The sequence below is a fragment of the Homo sapiens genome, chromosome 22 (assembly GCF_000001405.40).
Source record: "Homo sapiens chromosome 22, GRCh38.p14 Primary Assembly".
NCBI lineage: Eukaryota > Metazoa > Chordata > Mammalia > Primates > Hominidae > Homo > Homo sapiens.
In genome coordinates, this window is record NC_000022.11 from 46,063,396 (window position 1) to 46,084,488 (window position 21,093).

Sequence of the window (21,093 nt, forward strand, 5' to 3'; positions counted from 1 at the left end):
CACAGAGGGCTGTAAGCAGGGATGAGGCTTAGGTGGGGCTTGGAACCACCCCGGGTGCCTGGCCAGGGAGGCTCTGGTTGCAGGGACTGGCAGCCCGGCAGACGAGGACAGAGGACGGGGTTATTGTGCTCTTTCAGCTCAGGCAAAGCAGCTTTGTGACAAGGACTCTCGTGGGGCGATTGTGTCTGTGATTTTATACCCAAGGTCTATTTGCCCCAGTCTAATTCTAGGGGCTGATCAGGATGCACCTGGCAGGGAAAGTGGGCACCTCGGACGATGGAAGCCACTGCAGGGAAGATGGGGGGAGAGCTCCCAAAGCCAGACCGGCGTAAGGCATTTCTGGGACCTAAATTTCAATGGGGCTCTGTTTTGCCTGGAAACTGTTCATAAAATAAAATAAGCCTATGTGTGTATGAGTATGAAGGGATGGATGGTGATGTTTTCCTTAAAAAAACAAAAATAACAAAGTGCATGTGTGTACACAGCAGTCGGGGTCCCAAGTCTGTGTGGTATCAGGCCTAGTCACGGCACCACTCACCTGGGCCTCAGTTTCCCCAGTCTTTAAAGAGCTAAGAGAGTTCTCGTTCTGTCTGCTGCACGGGCCAGGAGAGTCACGTGAGGCGAGGTGAGAACACGTTGTGTAAATGATGAAGTGTTTGCTCTGCACACGTGAGGTGCTGTCTTTACTACCTTAGGGAAAAACCCTCTACTCTGAGGCCGTTGTTTTAGGATTCAAATGGTTAGTGATTGACATGGTGCCGGGCACTTACTAAGTGATCAGGATGATTTTGTTGACTTGAACCGTGGTGTCAAAATCCTCTGCATTGGCTGTAAGAAAGAGGTGGGCTGAGCACGGTGAGAAATGGAGTCGAAACAGAGAGCATCCCAGGCCTCTGAAGGCCTTCGAACATGACAACGAGTTGGCCCCCACTTTGGGGGATTGGAGTGGACGGTTTGGAGATCCCCCTGGGACATACGCCTGAGAGCCCTAAGTGTTTGTCCCGGGGTCCAAGCCTGTCGTCTGCAGCCCTTCATTGCCCTGCCTAGCTTGGACTGCGTAAGCGTCTGCTGGGCCCAAACCCCAGCCCGGTCCACACACTTGGGCCATCTCTCCTGGGGGACCGGATTGTGCGGCCTCCAGAGCTGCCTGGCAGAGGGCACACCTTCTCGGCGCCCTGGTGCCGCACCGCGCCGCGCTCCCAACACCGGCTTGCTTATGCTTTGTCCTGATGATGATGAATGAGGTCAGCCTGGCTTACCATTCACAAAATAATTCTTTATTGCAGAGAAAGCTTTTCTCTATCTGAGATCTGCCCTTGTTATCTACAGCAGTTATGCTTTCCCTGGCTTTTGGTGTTTGCCTACGTGTAATGAAGTAGGGAGTAACCCAGGGAGAACGCAGGTAGGGCCTGCTCCTTCCTCTGGGCTAGGGGCGTTCCACCAGGCCCTCAATCAGCCCCCAGGCCATAAAGGCAACAAAACATTTATCGCTACACACAAACCTACATATACACACTTATGCACACGTATACATATGCGTACACACACACACGTATCCCAGGATGCTATCCTCGTGGAGCTAACATTTGATATTCTAAGTATTAAAGTTTGAGGCACCAACAGGCTGTCTTAAAAGGCTCATTCAGCCTGTCTGCCTTGGAGCTATTTTATTTATAATTCTTCTTGTCACGTCAAAGAACTCTGTGTTTCTTGCAGACTGTGTTCGGGTGGTTGAGTGTTTGGTTTTTGGCTACAGCCGGTTACTTTTTCCGAATCTGTAGGTCCAGGTGTGCGTTGACAAGGTTTTTCCCAACTCGAGAAGTTTCTCAGGGAGCCTTGGAGTCCTTCTATAAATTTCTGGCATTCTACGTGTGAGAGACTTCCAGTTTTGGAGAAGTCGGGAGAGTGAGGGAAGGAGCGTGCGGTTCTGAGTCCGCTGCCTCCTCTCAGACAGAAAGTCAACGGGCAGCATCTTGCAGTATATTTAGAATGCAGACTTGAAAAACTGACGGATAAGATATTATTAGCAAAGGTACAAACCTTTGATGATATTCAAAAACCCCTGCCTCTGTGCATCATTGAAAACCAAGCGAAAAAGGAGTGAAAATAGTGAAAATACCTATCCACGTCTCTGATTACTTTGAAATCGATTTTAAAAATATGTTTATCATGTAAATATTATGTAGACTTTCATTTTCAAGGTCAGTGTCCCTTCTTGTCTGGTTGCTTACAGTACCACTTTTTTGGGGAGTTAAAAAAATGAACTTCATGTTCTTTTGAAATTAGGAATTATACCAAAAGTTGCCTATAAAATAGCAAGAAACAAAAAAGCATCGGTTTTCTTCTTTAGCATTTTTTGGACAGCAACTAAATATTGTCTTGTAGTGATAAGTTCAGTTCAAACACTTCTTGTATTTCTGTAGAAAGGGTGCCTATGAAAAATCTGACCTTAACCTTGAAGTTAACCAGGTCTAAAAGCTAGGATACTGGGACATAGTCAGGAAAATGAAACTGGTTTTATATATAAATTAGTCACCTGTGTTGTGTGAAGTCACATTTGATTTTTTAAAAATAAAATGGGAGTCTCTCAATAAATAAGACCAGTGTGGTCAAATGCCAAACAACTTGTAATTGACAATCCCCCAAAACCAAATCCCAATTTCAGTATGAGTTCCATTTGTGGGCAGCTTAAGTTTGTTGTAGTAATTTTAAAGAAGTAATCTGTGAAATCTTGATTTTAGTAAAAAGTTCCTGCAGTCCCTTGCAACTTAACAACAAACCATTTGAGTTCAAAATCAGTTTTTTCTCCTTTCTTTTTTTTATTTATTCTAGAGGAATTTACCTAGCCCGCTGAAGACCTGTACAATAAAATATTATAAGTAGCACATAAACTTTTTAGAAAAATGTTAATTTCCCCATTTCTGATTATTCCATTTAAGAAATTGTAGAAGTGATTGACTAAAATTAATTCAGCACCCACTTCTGGAATGGTAATTTTTGTTTTTTAAAAATTTAGTTTGGTGCCCTTTCTCATTCCTCATTTAAAGTCAGAAATCTAGCTTTGGCATTTGATAGATGCATATATAACCAGAGATATTGGCCCGTCATCCTTAATACATATTTTCAGATTTGTGTTGTTACTACTTTGGAATGGAAAACATTAATCGTAATTCCTCATTCCTAAGGGGAAATTTTTCATACTAGCATGTTGTTTATTAATATTATGTACAATATATTCATATATGATTGAACACACGCCTGTCGTAGACTTCTAGTTGTTTTATGCGCTCCTTTTGATTGAAAAGTAATAATTAACCCCTTAAGAATGCTTTCGGGGTTGTTAGACTTCTTTTTGAGATACATACGCAGGCACCGCAACATGAAACATGAATGTGTAGACTTCCAAAGCATGTTAAAGGTGACAAAGCGCTGCTTACACAGGTTTAGAACCAGACATGTGATTGCACGCGTGTGGAGCTGGCACCATGAAAGCACGATGTGCATCACTCATAGAGGCAGGCACACTTAAGTATGTTCTTTACATTGAAACAGAAAGGAAAGAAGATAGGAAAAATGGTGCCAGCACGCTGGGCTTTTTTTGTTTGCTGTTTTGGGTGGGGTGTGCTAGTGCAGTGTCCGGTGTACGCTTTTGTCCTCAAACAGGCTTGTTCCCCGGTCAGAGTTTCATTATTGTTGCTGGTAAACAAATGCCAAGTTTGACAAAAAACAGTGAAATAAAGCAAAAGATTTTGAAAAATGCTTCATCATGTCAGAAGGAAAGAACCCTTTTCACGGGTGCCTGCCCACATTTCCTTGCCCAGCCTGAGACCCTATTGACTTTGAATTATCTTTTGCTGTTTTATTTCTATGAAAATTATAAACGCGTATGTTCGTCCAAGGTGGATTGATGCTTAGAGGTTGCGTATAAATAACTGAGAGTGAAAATAAACCCATCATGCGGTAGGAGCGTATGTTGTCATGAAACAGGCCTATGAAAATGGACTCTCAAACCTGCAAACTACTTTGAAACAAAGGCAAAAGAAAAAAAATCATAAGCCTGGTTTGCCTTTATCCAGAGTCCCCAAAGCTGCTGAGCAGCTCCTCAAAAGGCACATTGTCTAGGATGATCGAAGTGGCATCTTATCCAGGAGCCACTGAAAACTTGCAATCTCAAGTTTATTGGGCTGGCTTTAAAAACATCATTATTCTTGGATGTGCAACTGAATGTTCAGAACCCAAGTGAAAATGTAATTTTTCACTCACTCGCCGTCCTTGCTTTAATTAGATTAAATGCATCTGTTTCCTAAGTCCTCATAATGCCTTGGATACTGAGAAATTTAAAATGTCGACCCGTTGAGAAAAAAGAAACGAAACCGAAGCACCCCCCTCAGCCTTCTGAGGCTGGACTGTGGGCCAGGGGCTGGCGGAGAAAGCAAGGCAGCAGGAAATTGCCGGCTCCATTCCCATTAGGCGGATCTGGGGAGAAATCAGGAAAAAAATAACTGTATAAGGCTGACACTGTAAACATCCTAGTACAGCAGCAGCCTTCCTAGACCTTATTTTCAAACATCTGACCTCAGGCATGGCTGTGGCCCACAGGCGAAAACCAAGTTTTTCTTCCTGGAAACTTATCCATCACAGTGCTCATCAACAATGTAAATTTTCCGGGTTTTCTTGTTGATAATTTGAGCATACTGTAAAAAATATTATTATTTACTTTGAATAATATGATAGCAAATAGACAGAAACAATCTAACCTGAATAATATCCAGTGGAATTACCTGAGTGCTCTTATTTTTGCTGAATAAAGCGGCATTTGATTTCTGAATTTGCAACCAAATTATATGTAAATCCTTGCCAAGTACAGGGGAAATTTTTTTAAAAAGAGTGTGTGTTCTTGAATATTGTTCTGACTTATCTGATTTCCTGCTTTACCAAATAAAAATTGGAAGTGGGAAAAAGGCATTAAATTAACTTATTACAGTGAGAGCAAGAAAAAAAAATCATTTAATAAAAAGAAGGTTAGCAAGCCAGTATGATTATACAATGATTTCAGGTGAAAATTACAAAGCTAATATCCTGGCATTTAGTCACTGCGTTCAGTAATGATACAGTTGTCAAATTTGTATTTGTGCCAATGGAACAAAACTTGTAAGTGGCATAATAGAAGATAATCTCTTTTTCTTTGTGGCTTTTTAAATTCAATGTTTTAATCCATTTAATCACAAAACATATATCACATTAGTTATAATATTTATAGTGTTTAGGAACGTGATTATAAATACAGTGTGGTTGTTGGGTGTAGCCTTTTTTTTTCCTTTTTTCGCTTGAACGTGTATCTCCGAGGTATGCATCATTTCTAGAGATTGCCCTTGAGAACAGTTTTATTGAGAATAGTAACCATATATTTATGTTCAGAATCCCCATTTGGTCGTTACCGGCTGTGTTCATTATTTTGGAAAAACAAGATTCCATATTAAAAGGCCTGGTGCTTATGATGTTTAGATCTCTGCATTCATCTCAGTTTCTAAAGCATTTTTGTTCTTCTGGAGTCCCTAAACTTGCTAAACCACAAAATATCTGTAGTATGTTTTTTAAAGTAGTTGAACCATACAGCAACGATGGGGTACAGGAGGAGTTTATAGAGCAGTTAGCGGTTGAGTTCTGCCTTAGTGTGGCTGGGTTAGGAGGGGCTACAGGGGCATATGTGGGACTTTGGGCACTGCTGGGCACAGACTCATCCTGTGGGAATGTGTGCTCTCACCCCACACTTCCTATTTGGGGCTGAAAATTTTAATAGTGAAGAAAGAAAATGATAAAGCACTGTGCTAGACAGGATTGATTTCCCCTGCTGTATTGCTAGAAGGTAGACACGGCATGTCTGCGTCTCAGGCTGCCGAGAGAGCCGTGCCCTTTTCTGGGGAAGCACAGAGCTCCTGAGCTTCCAGCTCTGGGCCCCACAGCCCTTGGAGCTGGGGGGTGAGGGGGAGACACAGGACCTTCCTCAGGAAAAGAGGGCACCCCACTCGATAGTGAAGCCACCAGGCAGCTATGGAAAGTGAAAGTTGGTCCGGATTCCAATGAAAAGATTAATTGGAAAACATTTCTACTCCATTTTCTAAAACTGAGTTTTCCCATAGAAAAAAAAATAATAAAGCTATCCCTAAAGTTCTTTCAGCTTCTAAAAAGAAGATGCTGTAGTAAGATTCCAGTCCCCACCGCCCCAACTCCCAGGAAAGCAATTGGGAAGGTTTCTTAACATACCCTGAGTTCTTCCTTCCCTCCCCCCAAATTCCGTGTGTCATGGGGTGGAGGCAGTGGTGTGTTTATCAGGGTGGCTGGCACAATTCACAGCCACAATCATGGGGGTCTAGCGAGCTGTGGAAGGCAGCTCAGTGGGCAGCGAGGCCCTGGCAGAGTTGCCCGGCTGCCCCAGCCCAGCGTTGCCCTCCTGGGCAGTCTAATCCAATGTGAAATGAAGTTTCCTGGGAAGCAGGGCACACGAGGAACTTTTGAATTTACCAATGGCATAAAAAGTATATATATTTTTATGACAACGGGCAAGTTTCAATTGGTTGGCAGAAATGGCGAGATGTGACGTCAAGGGACACTGGTTAGAATGCCAAGGCCGGCGGCGGGGGGTTGGGGGGAGACAGGCACAGACAGACATTGGGTTGGGACCCGGGAGGCCTTGTTTCTCTCGGGCCCTGGCCGCCAAAGGGCCGTCGCAGGCGTCTGGGGACATCAGCTCCATGCGGCTCTGGGCCAGGGCATGCTCGGGCAGGGGGACGGGGTCTGCGAATAGTGACTCTGTGTCCGCGTGCGTCCCCGAGAGCCGGAGGCCCAGGCCGGCCCCTCTGCGGTTTGGGAACCACTCAGGCGCCTCTGTGGAGCGGGCGGGAAAAGACGCCGCGGCCTCCTTGGCATTCTAACCCGTGTCCGGACCCTAGAGGCCGGCCGGTCTCAACCACCGGGAGGGCCTGGGAGGGAACCGTGTGGCCCGGGGCCAGCAGTGTCGCCATCGGGCTCCGAGAGAGCAAAGCTGTGGCCTTGAACTTCTCCCCGAAGCTCCTGTGCCCTGAGTCGGGGAAGCAGGAAGTTGTTGCCACCGGGAAGGAAGAGAGCGCGCTCGGAGCTGGGCAGCGGCTCCAGGCACCGCGCCCCTGCCCATCCCACGCCTCCCCGGGCACCGTGAACCACCCCCCAACCCAACTCCTCCAGGCACCTTGCGCGCCCCTCTTACATCTCCCGGCACTGTGCGCTGACCCCTGCCTCCGCCGGCCGGCTCCCGTGTGCCGAGTCCGGACTCCCACCCCTCTGGGCACCCCTTGCTCCGCGGGGCCGGCGGTGTCCTGGAAGCCGCCGCGGGGTTGCCCGTGCGCGCGCTCCGCCCTGGGGGAAGCCCGCTGCCACCGTCGGCCCCGAGCGCTGTCCCGGGGCCGCGTCGAGAGCTCCGCAGCGCACACTGTTCCCCGCGGGGACGAGCCTGGAGAGCCTGACCGCTGTCCGCGGCGCGCTCGGGGCTGCGGGCACCAGGTTGCGGGGACTGCAGGGACCGTCGGTCAGCCAGGGGTCCCAGAGCCGGGCCCGAGCGTGCGCGCGCGTCCCGCTGCCCGCAATCATGGCAGCCGGCGCCTTGGAGCGCAGCCGCCGAGCGCGCCCCAGCAGCCGCCTCGGTGCCAGGGCGGCGGGGGCGGGCCGGGCCGGGAGCTCGCGCCCGCCCGCCCGCCTCGGCCGCGCGGGCCCCGGGGCGCGAAACGGAAGGCCGCTGGGTCTCCGCGACGCGGTGCCCTTGCCCGGGGCGGGCGGCGGGAGGGGCCGCGGGGCGGGGGCGCGCTGGAGGGGAGCGCCCGGGGCGGCGTGCCCGCGGGGACGCGCACGCGGGGCTGCGGGGCGAGGCGCGGGGCCCGGGCGGCGAATCCGCTGCTCGCACCGCCCGCCCCGCCCGCGCGCGCCGTCCCGGGGTGGGGGGCGGTGGAAGGGGGAACCCAGGAGGGGCGGCGCCCGGTCTTCACCCGCAGCGGGCACGGCGGGGGCCGCGGGGGGCCTCGTTGGTATTCCGGGCGCGGTTGCATCCGCGACCTCCCCGCAGAACAGGGGTGCCCGGGCGCGCGGGCACCGCCGCCGCTCTCGGGCGGTCTCCGCGGGCTGCGGGGCCCGCAGGCGCCTTGCTTTCCCCGTCCCCTCCTCCCTGGGTTCCCCGTACTCCCTCCCCCGCTCCGATCCGGCGGCGAAGGGGTGGGCAGGGAAACGCGCTCTCTGGGACAGGTGCCAACTCCGAGACAAAAGACATAAAATAGGCGGCAACGGGGGAAGCGCGGCCGGCGCGCTCGGGCGGGGACGGCGGCGCCGCGGGGGCCGCATCCTCGGTGCCGACCCGGGAAAGTTTGGGAAGTCGCCGCAGCGGCTTCGCAGCGGCGGGGGACGCGCGGCCCGGGTCGCCCTCCGCGCCGCGCTCGCCCTCTCCGCGCCGCTGCTGAATAATTCATGGCGCGGCCGCCGGCCATTAGCATGCACCGGGCGCGCGGCGCGTCTGTGCCAAGCCGCCGCCGCATTCGGCGCCCGGGCAGCGCCAGACGAGCGGCCGCGCGGCGGCCGGGCCCACGCTGTCCCCGCGCCCGCCCGTCCGGCGGCGCCCATTGTGCCCCGGCCCGCCCCGCCGGGCTGTCCCCAAGCCCGCCTGCAACCCACCGCCCGCCCGACGGCCCGGCCCTGCAAGTCCTGGCTCGCGACGCCCGCCCCGGAATGCACGTGAACTTGGAGAAAGTCGCGGGGCGCGCCGGCCGGGCTCTCCGCGGCAGGGCGTGGGCGTCCCGGGGCCGGCGCGCTTTCGTTTTCGTCTGGGACAAAGGTCCCTTGCGGCGCGCGGACGCCGTGACCGGGTCCTGCGGGCCACTCTGTGGCGCAGTCGGGTCGCTAAGCGCAGGGAAGCCGGAGCCCGAAGGCAAGGAGAGACGCGGCGCGGGGCCGGGGAAGTGGGGCCTGGGCCGTGCGCTTCGCCCGCGGCAGTCCAGAGCCGTCCCACCCTGCGAAGAGTTGCGGGAACTGGCACCGCTCTGCCGTCCGCCGCTTCGACGCGGGAAGAGGGTGAGCGTTTGGAACCCAGGACTCAGACCGCTAGCTGAGGGCCTGTGCAGCTCTGGGCACGCGAGCGCGGCGCCGGCGGCGGCCAGGCACGGTCCTCCCGCAAGGGCAGGGCTGTCGACCTGTGCGCCCCAGGTCACGATCGGGTTCACGGCGACTCCTGAGGACGGTAAGTGCATTTCTCACTTTCGCTGCTTAGTGAGTATTTAAATATTAATGAAGGGATCTCTAAGAGGGACCCTTCCGTAGGGCAGGCCTTCCACAGACCAGGGAACGCACCGAGGAGGTTGCTCTTGAACCTGAAGCCGCACCAGCTTGCAAGAACTCCACTCGGCATTAATCTGGATCTTGGAATTTGTGAAGCACAGCTTCTAATCTCAGGTGTGCAGGCTATTTGCCAGAGAGAATCTTGTTGAACACATAAAATAAGCGTTAGCAGACATCTTAAACACAATGGGAAGAAAAGAAAAAACATCTGTTTTTAGATTTTTTTTTTTTTTTTTTTTTTTGGTGAGATGTGTTTGGAAAGGTTATTGGGAAGCTACAACTCTTTCTTGGAAGATTGAAATATTTCATTTACTTCCTAAACCCACGCTGCTGATTTTTTCCCCCTGGTCGGACACTTGGGGACAGCTGATTTGAGGGGGGATCCTCGGTTCGGCGTTGGCGGCATTTGGGCCGGTTCAGTGAAAGGCCCTTGTGTGAAAGCTGCTGTTTACGGTGGTGTAAAACGAAAAACAATTCGTAACTTTTTGTGGTAAAATGCCCCTTTATAGGTGCCTCACACAGGCCCAGCCAGTGGTCCTGGGGAGTTTGTGAGGAGCAAGAAAGGGGTGAAGGAATGCTTGCGTGCAATGATTATAGGGTTTCAAGGTAACGTGGAGATTAATTTTTTTCAAAGGTGGGTTTCAAAAGCCGAGGCAGCCTGCAGGCCAGCAATAGCTTCATTTTATTGGAGTTCATTGGCTCTAGCTCTTTGGGGTTTTAAAATACGTGTTTGTCCGTGTGTGTACGGAGCTAGGGTTAAAATGAAACCCCAAACTGTGGGGGATTGAGCCTGCTTTTTAGTATGATTGTGTCACAGGTGCAATGTCCCCCCTGCCCTCCCCACCCTACTGAGGTGGTTTGGATAATCTTGCTGGGTGCTTTCACCACAAAATAATGGGGGGCCTGTTTCCATAACACCCCAGGGCCATGAGCTGGCTCTTGGAGGCTGTGTTTCTGGGAACAGGGACAGAGGCCTGGGTAGTCCAGGCTTGCCTCATGCCTCCCTCCCACTGGGCTGCCTAGTGCCCTCCCCAAAAACCCCAAGGACTGAGGGGACCATTTCAGTCGGGTCCAGCCAGCCGCGGCCGGAGGTGGAAAGTTTGCCTCCGTGCTGGAAGAACTAACCTTGGCCGTCTTTTTTGCTGGGCTGCCTCTCCCATTGCCCCCTCGCTCCATTTTGGGCTTTTATTTATGACTTTATCAGAGGCAGTTAGCAGACATGAAACCTGGGGTGGGACATTCGGGGGCGATCTCAGAATCGGGGCGCAGCTGCAGAAGGCATGCCGTGATAGCCGGGAGCTTCTACTTGGCATGGCGTTGGCAGTGACGAGGTTGGTAATTAGAAGAAGCTCAAGTTCCACCGGGGCCTTGCCTGTAAAATGCTGGAGACGTTTACCCGGAGGCCACAGCAGACTGGGAACATAGCACGGAGGGCAGGCATGGTGTGGCACTCTACTGAGGCTGCGGGGAGTCCCTCTGGATTAAAACAGATTCCGAAACAAGCGGTATCCAGCTCTCCTGCTCCCACAGGCCAGACCTGGGGCTAGCCAGGGAAAGGCCTGAACGTCGGAGGAGGCAGTCTCCAGGGCCGCCAAGTGAGGGCTGCTATTCGTCAAAGCTCCAGAGCCCTGTCTCCTGCCACACAGTGTGGCCCTGGCCCATGAAATGGGATGAGGTCAAGATTCTGCAGCCAACAGTTGGGGCCAGCGCTGGGCACAGAAGCCCTGGCGAGGCCCTGTCCTGCCTTTGTCCATGTTCCTTAGAGCCAGCTCAGCCTGACAGAGTCTCAGGGTCCCACCAGGGGCTTCCCAGTGGTGTTGGAGTCTCCCATCCCGGCACAGTTCATTTTTGAGGGCACACACACAAAAGAGAAGGCTCTGAAAATGAAACTGACACTTGTCTGTTTTTTTAATCACCTCTGGATTTAACATCAAGAATGTGGAAAGCAGTGGCCCAGGGCCACAAGGACTATGGTGTGGGCTGGTGGAAGGATGGGCCCCGGTTTTTCTGGTTTTGTTTTAAACCGGGGCCTACCCCAGGATAGTCCGTTGCCTGTGCTGGGGCCTCACCAGGCCCCAGACCCTCCTGGGTGAGAAGGGTCTCCAGGGTGCTGATGGGGACGAGCTGGGCTCCACTTGGGCAGTGCCCCTCTGCCATGTTGAGGTCTCGTGCACACTGCCTGAGCAGGTGCAGGCCAGCAGTTTGCCTTGCTCCGCAGCAACAGCGTGGTGCTTTGCAGCAGGGTTACCTTTTGTTATGTGGTTTGCACCTGGCTGGGTCAGGCTGTCCGTGTGAACCTGTCTCACTCCCTCCGACCCCCTAAAGGGCGGTGGGGCCTTTCCTACCTAGCATGGATGGCGTGTGACTGGAAGGCAGACCGTGTGGCCCAGGAGGAACTGGGAAAAGCTCTGCCCACCCAGATGGGCACCCTGCCTGGGCAGGTGCTGCCTCGTGTCCAGGGGAACCTCTCGTGCAGTGTAGATGCATGCATGTGCTGAAGGGCGGCCTCTGGGAAGGGAGGGGTCCTTCCAGGCCGGGCAGGAAACACCATAAAGCCACCATGCTTCCTTGGGGTGTTGTCGCTGGGTTTTGAGGGTTCTTTGCATGTTTGGGGAGAGAGGAGAATGCTCTTGCCGAAATCGCAGCAAGCTGGAGTCTTTGCACCCTGAGCTTCAGTCTGCCCCTGCCCCTCCCTGGGTGACCCTGGCACATCTGAGCTCCTCCCTCAGCCTGGATTCTGAGCTGTAAAGCGGGAAGAGTGTTAACCCACCTCAGAGACTTCAAACATTATTTCCATAAAGCACCATTCCAGGCACGTTGTCGGGGAGGGGCGGGACATAAATGGCTACTGCTGTTGTCACTTATTGTTGTCAACAATAATCACTGTTGTTGTTTAATTTTTATTTATTTTACTTGCCACTACTATTATTTTATATATTGTATGATGTTATATTCTAAGTAACAGATAACCCAACTTCGGTCTCATCAGAAAATGAACCAAGAAGTTTACTCTCCCGGCCCCACAGGTGGGAGCAAAAGTGGACCTTGATGATACCTCCCAGGTAGACTGGCAGGAGGTTGCAGAGCCAGCACTTTTCTCACCACAGGGACTTGGTGTGAATGTGGCTTCCAGATGCATCTTGCACCTCACATTGGGTACACAAGATGAGACCAGGGTCTCCTTGGGGACCCGGGAAGTGCTGACGGAGGAGGCACTCCTTCCCAGGGACAGGACGGAAAGCATGCCTGGGTGCTGGCTCTGGATCTGACCTTTGCCCCCCCCCCCACTTCAGGGGCAGGAAAGAAGGGGGCAGGACGTCCTGATGCAGGGGCCCAGAGCAGCCACACCAGCCACCAGCGTCCTCGCTGGAAATGCAGATGGTGATTTGTTGGGAGGGTTTCACCACTCTGACGAGCTAATTGTTCTTTGGCCTGGTACGTTAACCAAAATGCTTGCTTTGGAGAATTTTCCCTCCTAGCTGGTTGTTCAGGAAGACCCAGCAAGATCGTCCTTGCTGAAAACATCTTGTCGGAATAAGAGAGAGCTCTAAATGGCATGGGTCATGCTTTCTGATGTTATAGAACTGAGTAGGGAGAAAAAGCAACAATTGTCTCCAAGCAGAGACAATGGATCTTTCATATGAAATATTTATTTTCAGGGCTGCCCAGTGTTCCCTGGGCTGGGACGGTCCGTGGAGCTCGAGCATCCGGGAATGGCAAGCCCCAAACATGTAGTTGGGGACAGAGATTTAGAGAAGAAAAAAGAAAGTCTCCTGACCCGTGGTTCTTGAACAATTTCAGTGGGCACGTCTGGCTTTCTTTGTCGAGTGGAGGCTAAGCTTGCACGAGTTAATTTTGTTTTCTTCCGTGATTTTTTTTTGAAAGCCGCAGGGCTGCACTTGGCGAGTGCTAGAAAGACGGCCACGTTTGGGATCGTGGGCCGGATGGGGCCTCCGTCGGCCAGGCCCAGTTGGCCTTAGCCGGCTGGGTCACAAAATGGAAGTGTGAGGAAAAATAGAGCCCAGAAGAGGAAGGGTCTGTCCCCAAAGGGCTAAGGGAGAGGCCATCGAGAGGGCGATTTGGGCCAATATTTGTGGTTTCCCAGTGTCTGCTCCTCCCCAAATTCCATTCTCAGATGAACTTGGGAGTGGCCCGTAGGTTGTGGGAGAGTCTGGCCTGACTTGGTGAAGCCACACACAAGCAAACACCCTTCCAGGCTGGAGAGGGTGTTTTTGTAACTCTGACAAATGTGGCCCAGAGTTATGGCTCCGTGAATATTTTCTGAATCGACAGAATGAAGAGGCCTACACATGAGCCATCCCCTGGTCCCTTCTCTGAGGTGCTGGAGGAGCTGCCCCGGAGAAGCCAGGCCAGAGTCCAGGCTCCCGTTAGCAGATGTGGGAGGAGCGGGCCGTGCTGGGGCCGTAGTGAAGCGATCTGTGGTGCTCGGGGAGCGTTGGGAAGGCTGAGGTGGCCCATCAGCTGGGGACACCCGGCACATTACGGGGACCTGTCTGGACACCCCAGCGATGCCTTGAAGGAGGACAGATGAGGGAGTGGCCCTGATCAGGTGGGGGACCAGGGTCACCCAAGCAGCTTTCTTGGCCAGTTATATCTGGCTTCAGAAATGAGGTTTTATTTTTTCGTCAATCGGCTGTCACGTTTTATTTTTCTTTCAATGCCAGAGCTTCTCAGCTTGGCCCCTGTAGCCCTGTACGTTAGCCCACTCAGAAGAGAGCTCTCTTTCAGGGTGTCCAGGAGCCTCTGACACTATAGGTAGAATTGGTATAATGGAAATCATGAAAAAGAATGAAATTTTGTGACAATGGGCAGAAAAACCCCAAAACCAGGTTTCTAGTCACTTTTTTGTGCGTGGTGGGAGGCAGTTTGAAAGTAAAACGGAAATCAGGGATGGGAAGCTTCTTGGTGGGGTCTGGACTGGGGAGTCTCATCTTTCTGACCACCCAGGAACCTGTGTGGAGAGAGTGGCTGGGCCACTGTCCAGCCAGCGCCGAGAGGGTTTCCGAGTAGAGATGTTACCGCAGGGTCACCGGTTAGTGTTGTAAAATAAGACTGGTGGTTGTGGATACTAAACGTGTGCATGAGATCTACACGGTAAAAAGGCCAAACAATTTTTTAAGCAGTGATAGAATTTTCCCTCCAGATTTAGAAGGAATCGTCCCTGATGCTTCTGGCTTTCTAAAACCAGGGCGGTTTTCCCCCCCGCCCCGTGGAACGCCCTTTCCTTCATTCTGGCATTTCAGATGGCAGGAAGAGCATTTAGCTGAAATATTTACCTGCTGATTTGGGGTTCTTAAATTTAGAATCCCCTTTCATGTGTTTAAGAGAGATATTTACATTCAAATCAGCCTTTTATAATTACATTTTAAATTATAATAAAATGATGGTGCCGGCGCTCCAGTTTTCCGTGTCTTTTAACTGTAAGAGAAGCTGCCGTGAATTGAATGGGGGCTACCCATCACCCAGAGTCCCCGCTGCCCACCGTGTGGGTTCTGGCCTGCCCGGGCACACGTGTCCTGAGCATGGCAGCTACATGGGTGTTACCTGTGGGGACCTCCCCGCACTGCCAGGAGAAGGGCCTGACGGGGATTCTGGCCCCACACAGTGCGATGGTTGCCCAGCCTCACCGCCTGCAGCTCCATCTGAGAAGGGCCTGATACGGGCTGGGGTCCAGGCCCACTGCCCTCATGTCCTGAGCCCCACGGTGGCCTGCAGGCCTGGTTTGGAGGCCATTATCTCCTCGGCGGCCAGCCGGGCACAGCAGTGGCCACTTCTGGTCGAGGCAGTTCTGTGGGTGAGGGGCGAGCATCGCCTCCTGCAACCGTAACCCAGGCCCTGCCTCCCCTGCCATGCCCCTGTGGGTCCCGTCGTTGCCATCTCGTCCTCAGTGGCTTCCCGATGTTGCCTGCTGGCAGGGCAGGCCCCGTGCCATGGAGCATGAGGGACCCTTCCCCTCCCAGGGCCAGGCTTTTGGCAGCCAGGCCAAGCCGCTGCTGGAATGGAATTCCCGGCGTTCCTGGTGGGGCGCATGGCATCGGAATCCTACCTGCTTTGTCTCTGGCATCAGCTGGTGAGCCAGTCACGTGGCCGTGTGCGTGAGACCAGAGCCCAGGACTGAGGGCTCCTCCCGGGCGCTTCCTCCTCGCTCACTCACCCCCACCCCCTTTTTTTGGCTTTCAGCAGGACTGGCTCTGAGCAGGCGTAAAACAGTGTTAAAACTGAATCCGGGCAGCAGGGAGCTCCTGTCCACGGCGGCAGGCTCTCACAGTCCACCGGGCTCTCGCGGTCCACCCAGACCACCCTTTACCTCGAGTCCTTATGCACAGAAAGGCCCTGATATGTCCCATACACTCAGGAGTTAGGCCCAGAGCTGGGCAGTGGTCACTCCACGCCATTCCCTCTGGTGTAGAGCTGGCCCTGCCTGCCCCCAGACGGCCGTGGGGTGGGTGGCACCGCTTCCTGGGGAACCCCTTCCCACACTTCTGGCCTTGTTTCTCACCCACACAAGGACACCCCAGTGGTCACTGCTGCAGCTCGCGGTCACATAGAGGGTGAGAGGGGAGAGCTGGACAAACAGGTGACCCAGCAGACCCAGCCTGATGCCCGCAGGAGAGAGCAACGGGGTCTGATATTTTGTCTCCAAATGAAAGAGCCACAGTGAAACCCCAGGCCTGCCAACCCCAGTTGTAGGGCCAGAGAACAGGGATGTTTCCCTGAGGCGGTGGCAAGGTTTGGTTTGGTGAAAACGAAGGATATGTGAGGGTCTGAGAGGGGAGGGTGACTGGCCTAGACTCCACCCCTGGCGCCCTGTCCACCGTGGCTGGCTGGCCACTCTCGGACCCCTCGGCGTCAAGCGCTGACTGGGTGCCTGCCTGGGGCTTGGGGCTCTGTACGTGTTAATTCTGCCACTCCAGCAGCCCTGAGTGGGAGGAGCCATTATCCCCCTTCTTTCTGTAGATGGGGAAACTGAGGCAGGCTTGCCCATGGTGAAGTGGCCAGTCGGACACAGGGCCAGATTGAAACCTGCAGCCTGGGCTCCCGGCTACAACAGCGCCAGCCTCCACAGGCATTAGAAGGGGACTCACTGCGAGGGCCCCAGCCAGGGCAGCTTTCAGGGTGGGGTCTCTGGCCTCACCCTGGGGAAACAGCCGGGGCGCTGGCTGCCTCCTGCTGAGCCTGGCGTGGGAACAATGTGGCCTCTATCCCTGGAGCGAGCCAGGCCGCCTGGACGCCCAGCCCTTCAGAGCAGCCCGGCCAGGCAGGCGCCCACAGCATGGCGCCCGGGCCGCGCTGTCCGTCCACGGGGTGCGGGCGCCTTGGCCAGGCCCAGGCAAGCCGCTCCCCGTGTCCTCCCTGGCTGGCCACTGAGTGGCCAGACGCCGGCTTCCTCCTCCCTCTCCCGCCCGGCCAGCCTCCTCCTTTTTTGGTGGTGGGTTTGGGGGCCCAGCCCACCCGCCACTGCCACGTCTGCCATCCTCCCGCACCCACGAGCATCTTTCAAAAATTCCCGGTGGGCGGGGCTGAGCTGCAGCGGCCGCCTCTGCCCCCCCTCCCCGGGCAGCCAGTGCCAGATGAGAGCAGGAGACAAAAGTAGCATTTTCCTCGTACTCCGGGGCTGGCAGCGGGGCCTTCCCCCAGCACCACATGGCTCCTGGCAGCCCTGCCCCCTGTGCCGGGGTGGCCGAGGCCCAGCCGGGCCCACTGGACCGAGGGACGGCGGCGGCCAGAGACTAGGGGGCCCGTGGGCCCATAGCTGGGGCTGGCACCGGGCAGCCTGCTGGCCGGCGGGACCTGCCCTCCTCCCCCACCCGGGTGACCGGCTGGGCCCAGGGACGTCATTTTCACTTCCTGGCTTTGGAGAAGACGCCTCCATCCTCCGGCACCTCGGGTAAGTCACCTTCTTTCCTTCTGTCGTGAAGACGAGCCGAGGGTGCTGCCATCTTGTGCCCCGGTGCCTGTTACGTGTCCTCCCTCTAATTGGTTCTCCAAACTCAGAATTCTATTTCAGAGCCCTCCATCTTCCGTGCAGGAAGCCCTGCCAAAAACTGCAGGGAAAATGCAGAAGCCAAGCCCATTTACTTTCAAGATCCAAAGCTACAGGCTTTAGAAATCACAATAAAAATGAATGTTTATTATTTCACAGTAGCTGCGTCTTCCATTTTAATGGGAACAAATGCTTTGGGAGTATTAATAGCCATGGCCTACTCCTGCCTTCCTGGTTGTGGCAGTTTGTGTGGGGGTCTCATTATTATTATTATTATTATTATTATTATTATTATTATTATTATTGTCTTAATTTTTGGCGGCGCCAGGAGTGGCAAAAGGAAAACCACCAGGACCATCCACGGCTCCTCCCAGCAAACTCATCGGCAGGCAGGGCCAGGCTGGCACCCGGGAGGGAGGACTTTGCATCTAGAAACAGAGGCCCTTTTATTTTGTCCGGCATCTTTAATGCTACCATGTCCACAGTTTAGGGATCTAGTTCTTTCTCCCTTTCGTTTTATTTTTTGGAAAAAAAAGAAAAAGAAAAAGGAAAAAGAAAGAAAGCTCCTTTTGGCCCTCAGCTCAGTGTGGGGAAAAATATTTTCGGTTGTTTTGGGCTTTGTTTTTGAGCACTTATTTCAACTTGGGGGTTCCGCCTGAAAGTGCTGGGCCTGTCTTGTCACCGCCCTGACCGCAGACTGTGTGTGGCGTGCGCGTGGGCACCGTTCACTACACAGACCCTTGGGGAAGCCCTGAGTGCCCTCATGGCCTGCCCGTGTCCTGGATCCCACCCCAGTTCCTCACCTGCAGAGCTGTTGGGGGAGACACCCAGGTCGTCCAGGGCCTGAAACGTGGCTGGCAGGGCCGGGAGTCCCTCAAAGACCTTTGAGTCCCCCCGCCTTGCCACCTCTGTCCAGGAGCTGGGCTCAGTGGCTGCCCGGGTGTCCCTGTTGGTCCCTGCCCCTCCAAAAGTGCTGATCCTTTTGATTCAGAGGTGGGCTTTGCAGAGCACAGCCCCATGTCCACCTCCACGCTGTGGCAGGCTGACAAAAGCGTCCTCGGATGCGGCCTGGTTCCCCACCCTTGAGGGGAGCCAGGGTCTTGATATATAGAAAATGGAAGAATCAGACCCGGAAAGTTCTAAACGGCACTGAGAGGAAAACTCCCATGGAAATCCATCTTTGTTTTCCCAGTTCGGAGGCGCGTGGGCCCTGCGTGCGCGGGCCTCGGTCTGAGCGGCCGGCCTCGGCAGACAGCACCAAATCTGTAAACGGAGCTAAGCTCACACGAGGACTCTCGGCGGCTGCTTTTGTTCGTAGATGAGCCAGCAGTCGATACTGGAGGGTCTGGGGCTGCAGAAACAGGCATATATAGCAGAGATAATTAAAACATTTCATGATTATGACAGCCACATTCTGCTGCTGCAAGCTGGAGGATTCATGCCACCCAAATATTTAGCAAGCATCAAATAAAACACTGGTGGCAAAATAAAAGTAATAGAAAAAAAAAACAGAGCGTAATACATTTCAAAGGCAAAAGAGTCAAGGGGATGGATAGGGAATGGATCGGGGGAAAAGTGGGGAGAGTTCAGCATTTTAAAAGAATTCACATGTTTAATAGCTGGCCACTCATATTTTTTTTTTGGTATAATTAATGTAGGCAAATAGACCCTTAATTCTAAGTCCTGGAATGAGAGATGGTAAAATTTCCTGATTATTAATTTATCATTTTTGTTTTTTGTACAGGGTAGGGGCAAGTAGCAGAAAAATCAATTAATTCACATAAAGGAACATTTTCATTCTAAATTAATATTGCCACTGCAATTAAATTTATCTAGTATTTTTAACATGTATGGATAACACACTTTCCTGTGTACACCTTGGATACCTGGGACCGTTATATGTGATCAACTATCATCTTAGTTTTTTAGCTTGGTTAACACTTGACCCCTCCCCCCACCTCAAAATCAGTAAAATGCTGTGGATTCTGCTTTTTAAAAAAATCAGGCCAAAATCTCAGCATTCTCCATGGCTCCCAGTGCTTCTCGGCAGTTTTTTTTTTTTTTTTTTTTTGAAGAAAGTACCACGCAAAGCACTTTTCACATCATCGCTTCTATATAAATTCCACTATAGACTGAAATTATACATTCTCGCAGCACAGATGGGCTGGTCTGTCATTACGGCTGCTGGGTACTTGTTGGAACACACAGCATATTTCAATTGTGGAGTCGACAATTTCGAAGAACTGGGGTCAAAATAAACAAGTTGCATTTGTGTATAGAAACAGACTTATTCAATGATCTTCTCATCCCCTGGAAAATTCGGCAGAGGAACGATCATCACCTTCATTAAACTTGAATTTAATTTTTGGTCTTCATCTTTTAAGACCCCACATGCCCTGTGTCAAAGGCCCATCAATGTTTTAATTAATTACCAATTTTTCTCTTATGCTGCAGCATTAGCAGTGGAACACAAGATTTAAATTCAAACTCGTGGGTGTGGTTTTTAATATCTTTTGACTTTAATTTTAACATCTTAATAATTTTAATATCTTACTAATCTCTATAGGGGAGGTGTGAAACCTCTGTTCTGTGTCGAGTTGCCTATTGTTTTGAGGCCTTTATGAAAAATCAGATGATTCATATTTAGGATGGTCTAAAGATACATTTAAATCCAAACACCACCCACAAAAAAACTCAGCAGGTAAAATACATAGAGTAGCCATAAACTTAAAAAAAAATTATCTCACCAAGATAACAAAGTGCAGAATTTATTGGTTTGTATCAGCCTCCTTGAGGGCAGAGCAGTTTTTACAGCCACAATAATTTGCAAATGATGATAACTGTTTATTTTGCAAATATGCTCATATTATGAGGCCATCAGTGGAGGCTTTTTTCTTTTCCCATACGTGTAAGTGTTTGCCTCTGTGTTTCTAAATTCTGGATTCAGGCTCTGCAGTTTCTCACCGGCTGAGACCACGTTCCCACGTTCCTGCCTCAGTGGCAGTGGCCGGGAGGAGGGAAGGGCGCGCCCCCTGTGTTGCCTCCTGCGAGCTCCAGCCGCCACATCCATTTGTTCGTAGAAGTGCTTTGTTGTGGCTTGTTTATTTTAAGGGATGTACCTGTTGGTGGAGATGTTAGCAAATCATAAGAAAAGTAAAAAGTTGATGAAATTTGCCAGAGCCGCTTGGGAGCCAGCTCTGCTGTCTGGTGGTTTTAACGACATCATCCCTTCCAGTTCTGGTCTTTTAGCCTATTGACTCCCGCCTCCTTAGCAAGAGGAATATGGCCCTGGTCTGGGCGCTCTGAAAGATGAGGCAAAGTGAAAAGGCCCCAGCCTCTGGGCCGCAGAGCCTCTAAGCAGCGGTGGGCATGGCGATGGTGGTAATAGTAGCAACAGCACTCTCTGCTGCTGTTCACAGGTGCCCGCTGTGTACCGGGGCTCCTGCTTTCAGAAAAGCACCGGCTCTGGGACCCAAGGTCTCGGTTCAGATGGGGTCGTCTTTGTTTCCAGGCCGTGTTGATCAAGGGCAAGTCATTTCACCTCTCCGGCCTCATTTCCTTATCTGTAAAATGGAGGCAGTAAGTGTCAACTTTCTGAACACATGGAAAGCTGGGTTCATGGTGAGCACCCCATAAATGCTATTGCTTCCTTGCCTTATTTCTAAGGCTCAGACTATGCCTGCAAGGGGGCATTTTCATTACCTCCATTCCACCAGGGGAAGCAGCGAACCTCTGAG

At 52.4% G+C, this 21,093-nt stretch overlaps 1 protein-coding gene and 1 long non-coding RNA gene across 4 annotated transcripts in view, besides 7 other annotated features; one reads left to right on the forward strand and one right to left on the reverse strand.

The window, feature by feature from the left end:
* The window catches only part of LOC124905135 (collagen alpha-1(III) chain-like), a 69,285-nt gene that overhangs the window by 18,752 nt on the left and 29,440 nt on the right, over positions 1-21,093 (forward strand). For 2 of the 3 annotated variants that reach the window (XM_047441695.1, XM_047441697.1), the window contains exon 1: positions 8,320-9,253. The exons of the other annotated variant lie outside the window; for it this stretch is intronic. The gene's annotated coding sequence lies outside the window, so the exon portion shown is untranslated. Of the gene's footprint in view, positions 1-8,319; positions 9,254-21,093 lie in introns of those variants that run through there. 3 annotated transcript variants of the gene reach the window in all.
* LINC02939 (long intergenic non-protein coding RNA 2939) lies at positions 1,256-7,626 on the reverse strand. Its single transcript, NR_148973.1, has 2 exons — positions 7,244-7,626; positions 1,256-4,476 (listed from the first exon to the last, which is right to left on the reverse strand). It is a non-coding gene; the product is annotated as a long intergenic non-protein coding RNA 2939 (long non-coding RNA).
* Positions 7,268-8,047: a silencer, noted in NCBI's record as "silent region_13898". NCBI's record gives its function as "represses an Ori minimal core promoter by ATAC-STARR-seq in GM12878 lymphoblastoid cells {active_cell/tissue: GM12878}" and the evidence as "EXISTENCE:reporter gene assay evidence [ECO:0000049][PMID:35858748]".
* Positions 8,108-8,187: a silencer, noted in NCBI's record as "silent region_13899". NCBI's record gives its function as "represses an Ori minimal core promoter by ATAC-STARR-seq in GM12878 lymphoblastoid cells {active_cell/tissue: GM12878}" and the evidence as "EXISTENCE:reporter gene assay evidence [ECO:0000049][PMID:35858748]".
* Positions 8,318-8,527: a silencer, noted in NCBI's record as "silent region_13900". NCBI's record gives its function as "represses an Ori minimal core promoter by ATAC-STARR-seq in GM12878 lymphoblastoid cells {active_cell/tissue: GM12878}" and the evidence as "EXISTENCE:reporter gene assay evidence [ECO:0000049][PMID:35858748]".
* Positions 8,541-9,095: an enhancer, noted in NCBI's record as "H3K4me1 hESC enhancer chr22:46467816-46468370 (GRCh37/hg19 assembly coordinates)". NCBI's record gives its function as "activates a minimal SCP1, AML or CMV promoter by ChIP-STARR-seq in primed H9 embryonic stem cells {active_cell/tissue: H9 hESC(primed)}" and the evidence as "EXISTENCE:reporter gene assay evidence [ECO:0000049][PMID:30033119]".
* Positions 8,608-8,697: a silencer, noted in NCBI's record as "silent region_13901". NCBI's record gives its function as "represses an Ori minimal core promoter by ATAC-STARR-seq in GM12878 lymphoblastoid cells {active_cell/tissue: GM12878}" and the evidence as "EXISTENCE:reporter gene assay evidence [ECO:0000049][PMID:35858748]".
* Positions 8,868-8,947: a silencer, noted in NCBI's record as "silent region_13902". NCBI's record gives its function as "represses an Ori minimal core promoter by ATAC-STARR-seq in GM12878 lymphoblastoid cells {active_cell/tissue: GM12878}" and the evidence as "EXISTENCE:reporter gene assay evidence [ECO:0000049][PMID:35858748]".
* Positions 9,096-9,648: an enhancer, noted in NCBI's record as "H3K4me1 hESC enhancer chr22:46468371-46468923 (GRCh37/hg19 assembly coordinates)". NCBI's record gives its function as "activates a minimal SCP1, AML or CMV promoter by ChIP-STARR-seq in naive and primed H9 embryonic stem cells {active_cell/tissue: H9 hESC(naive and primed)}" and the evidence as "EXISTENCE:reporter gene assay evidence [ECO:0000049][PMID:30033119]".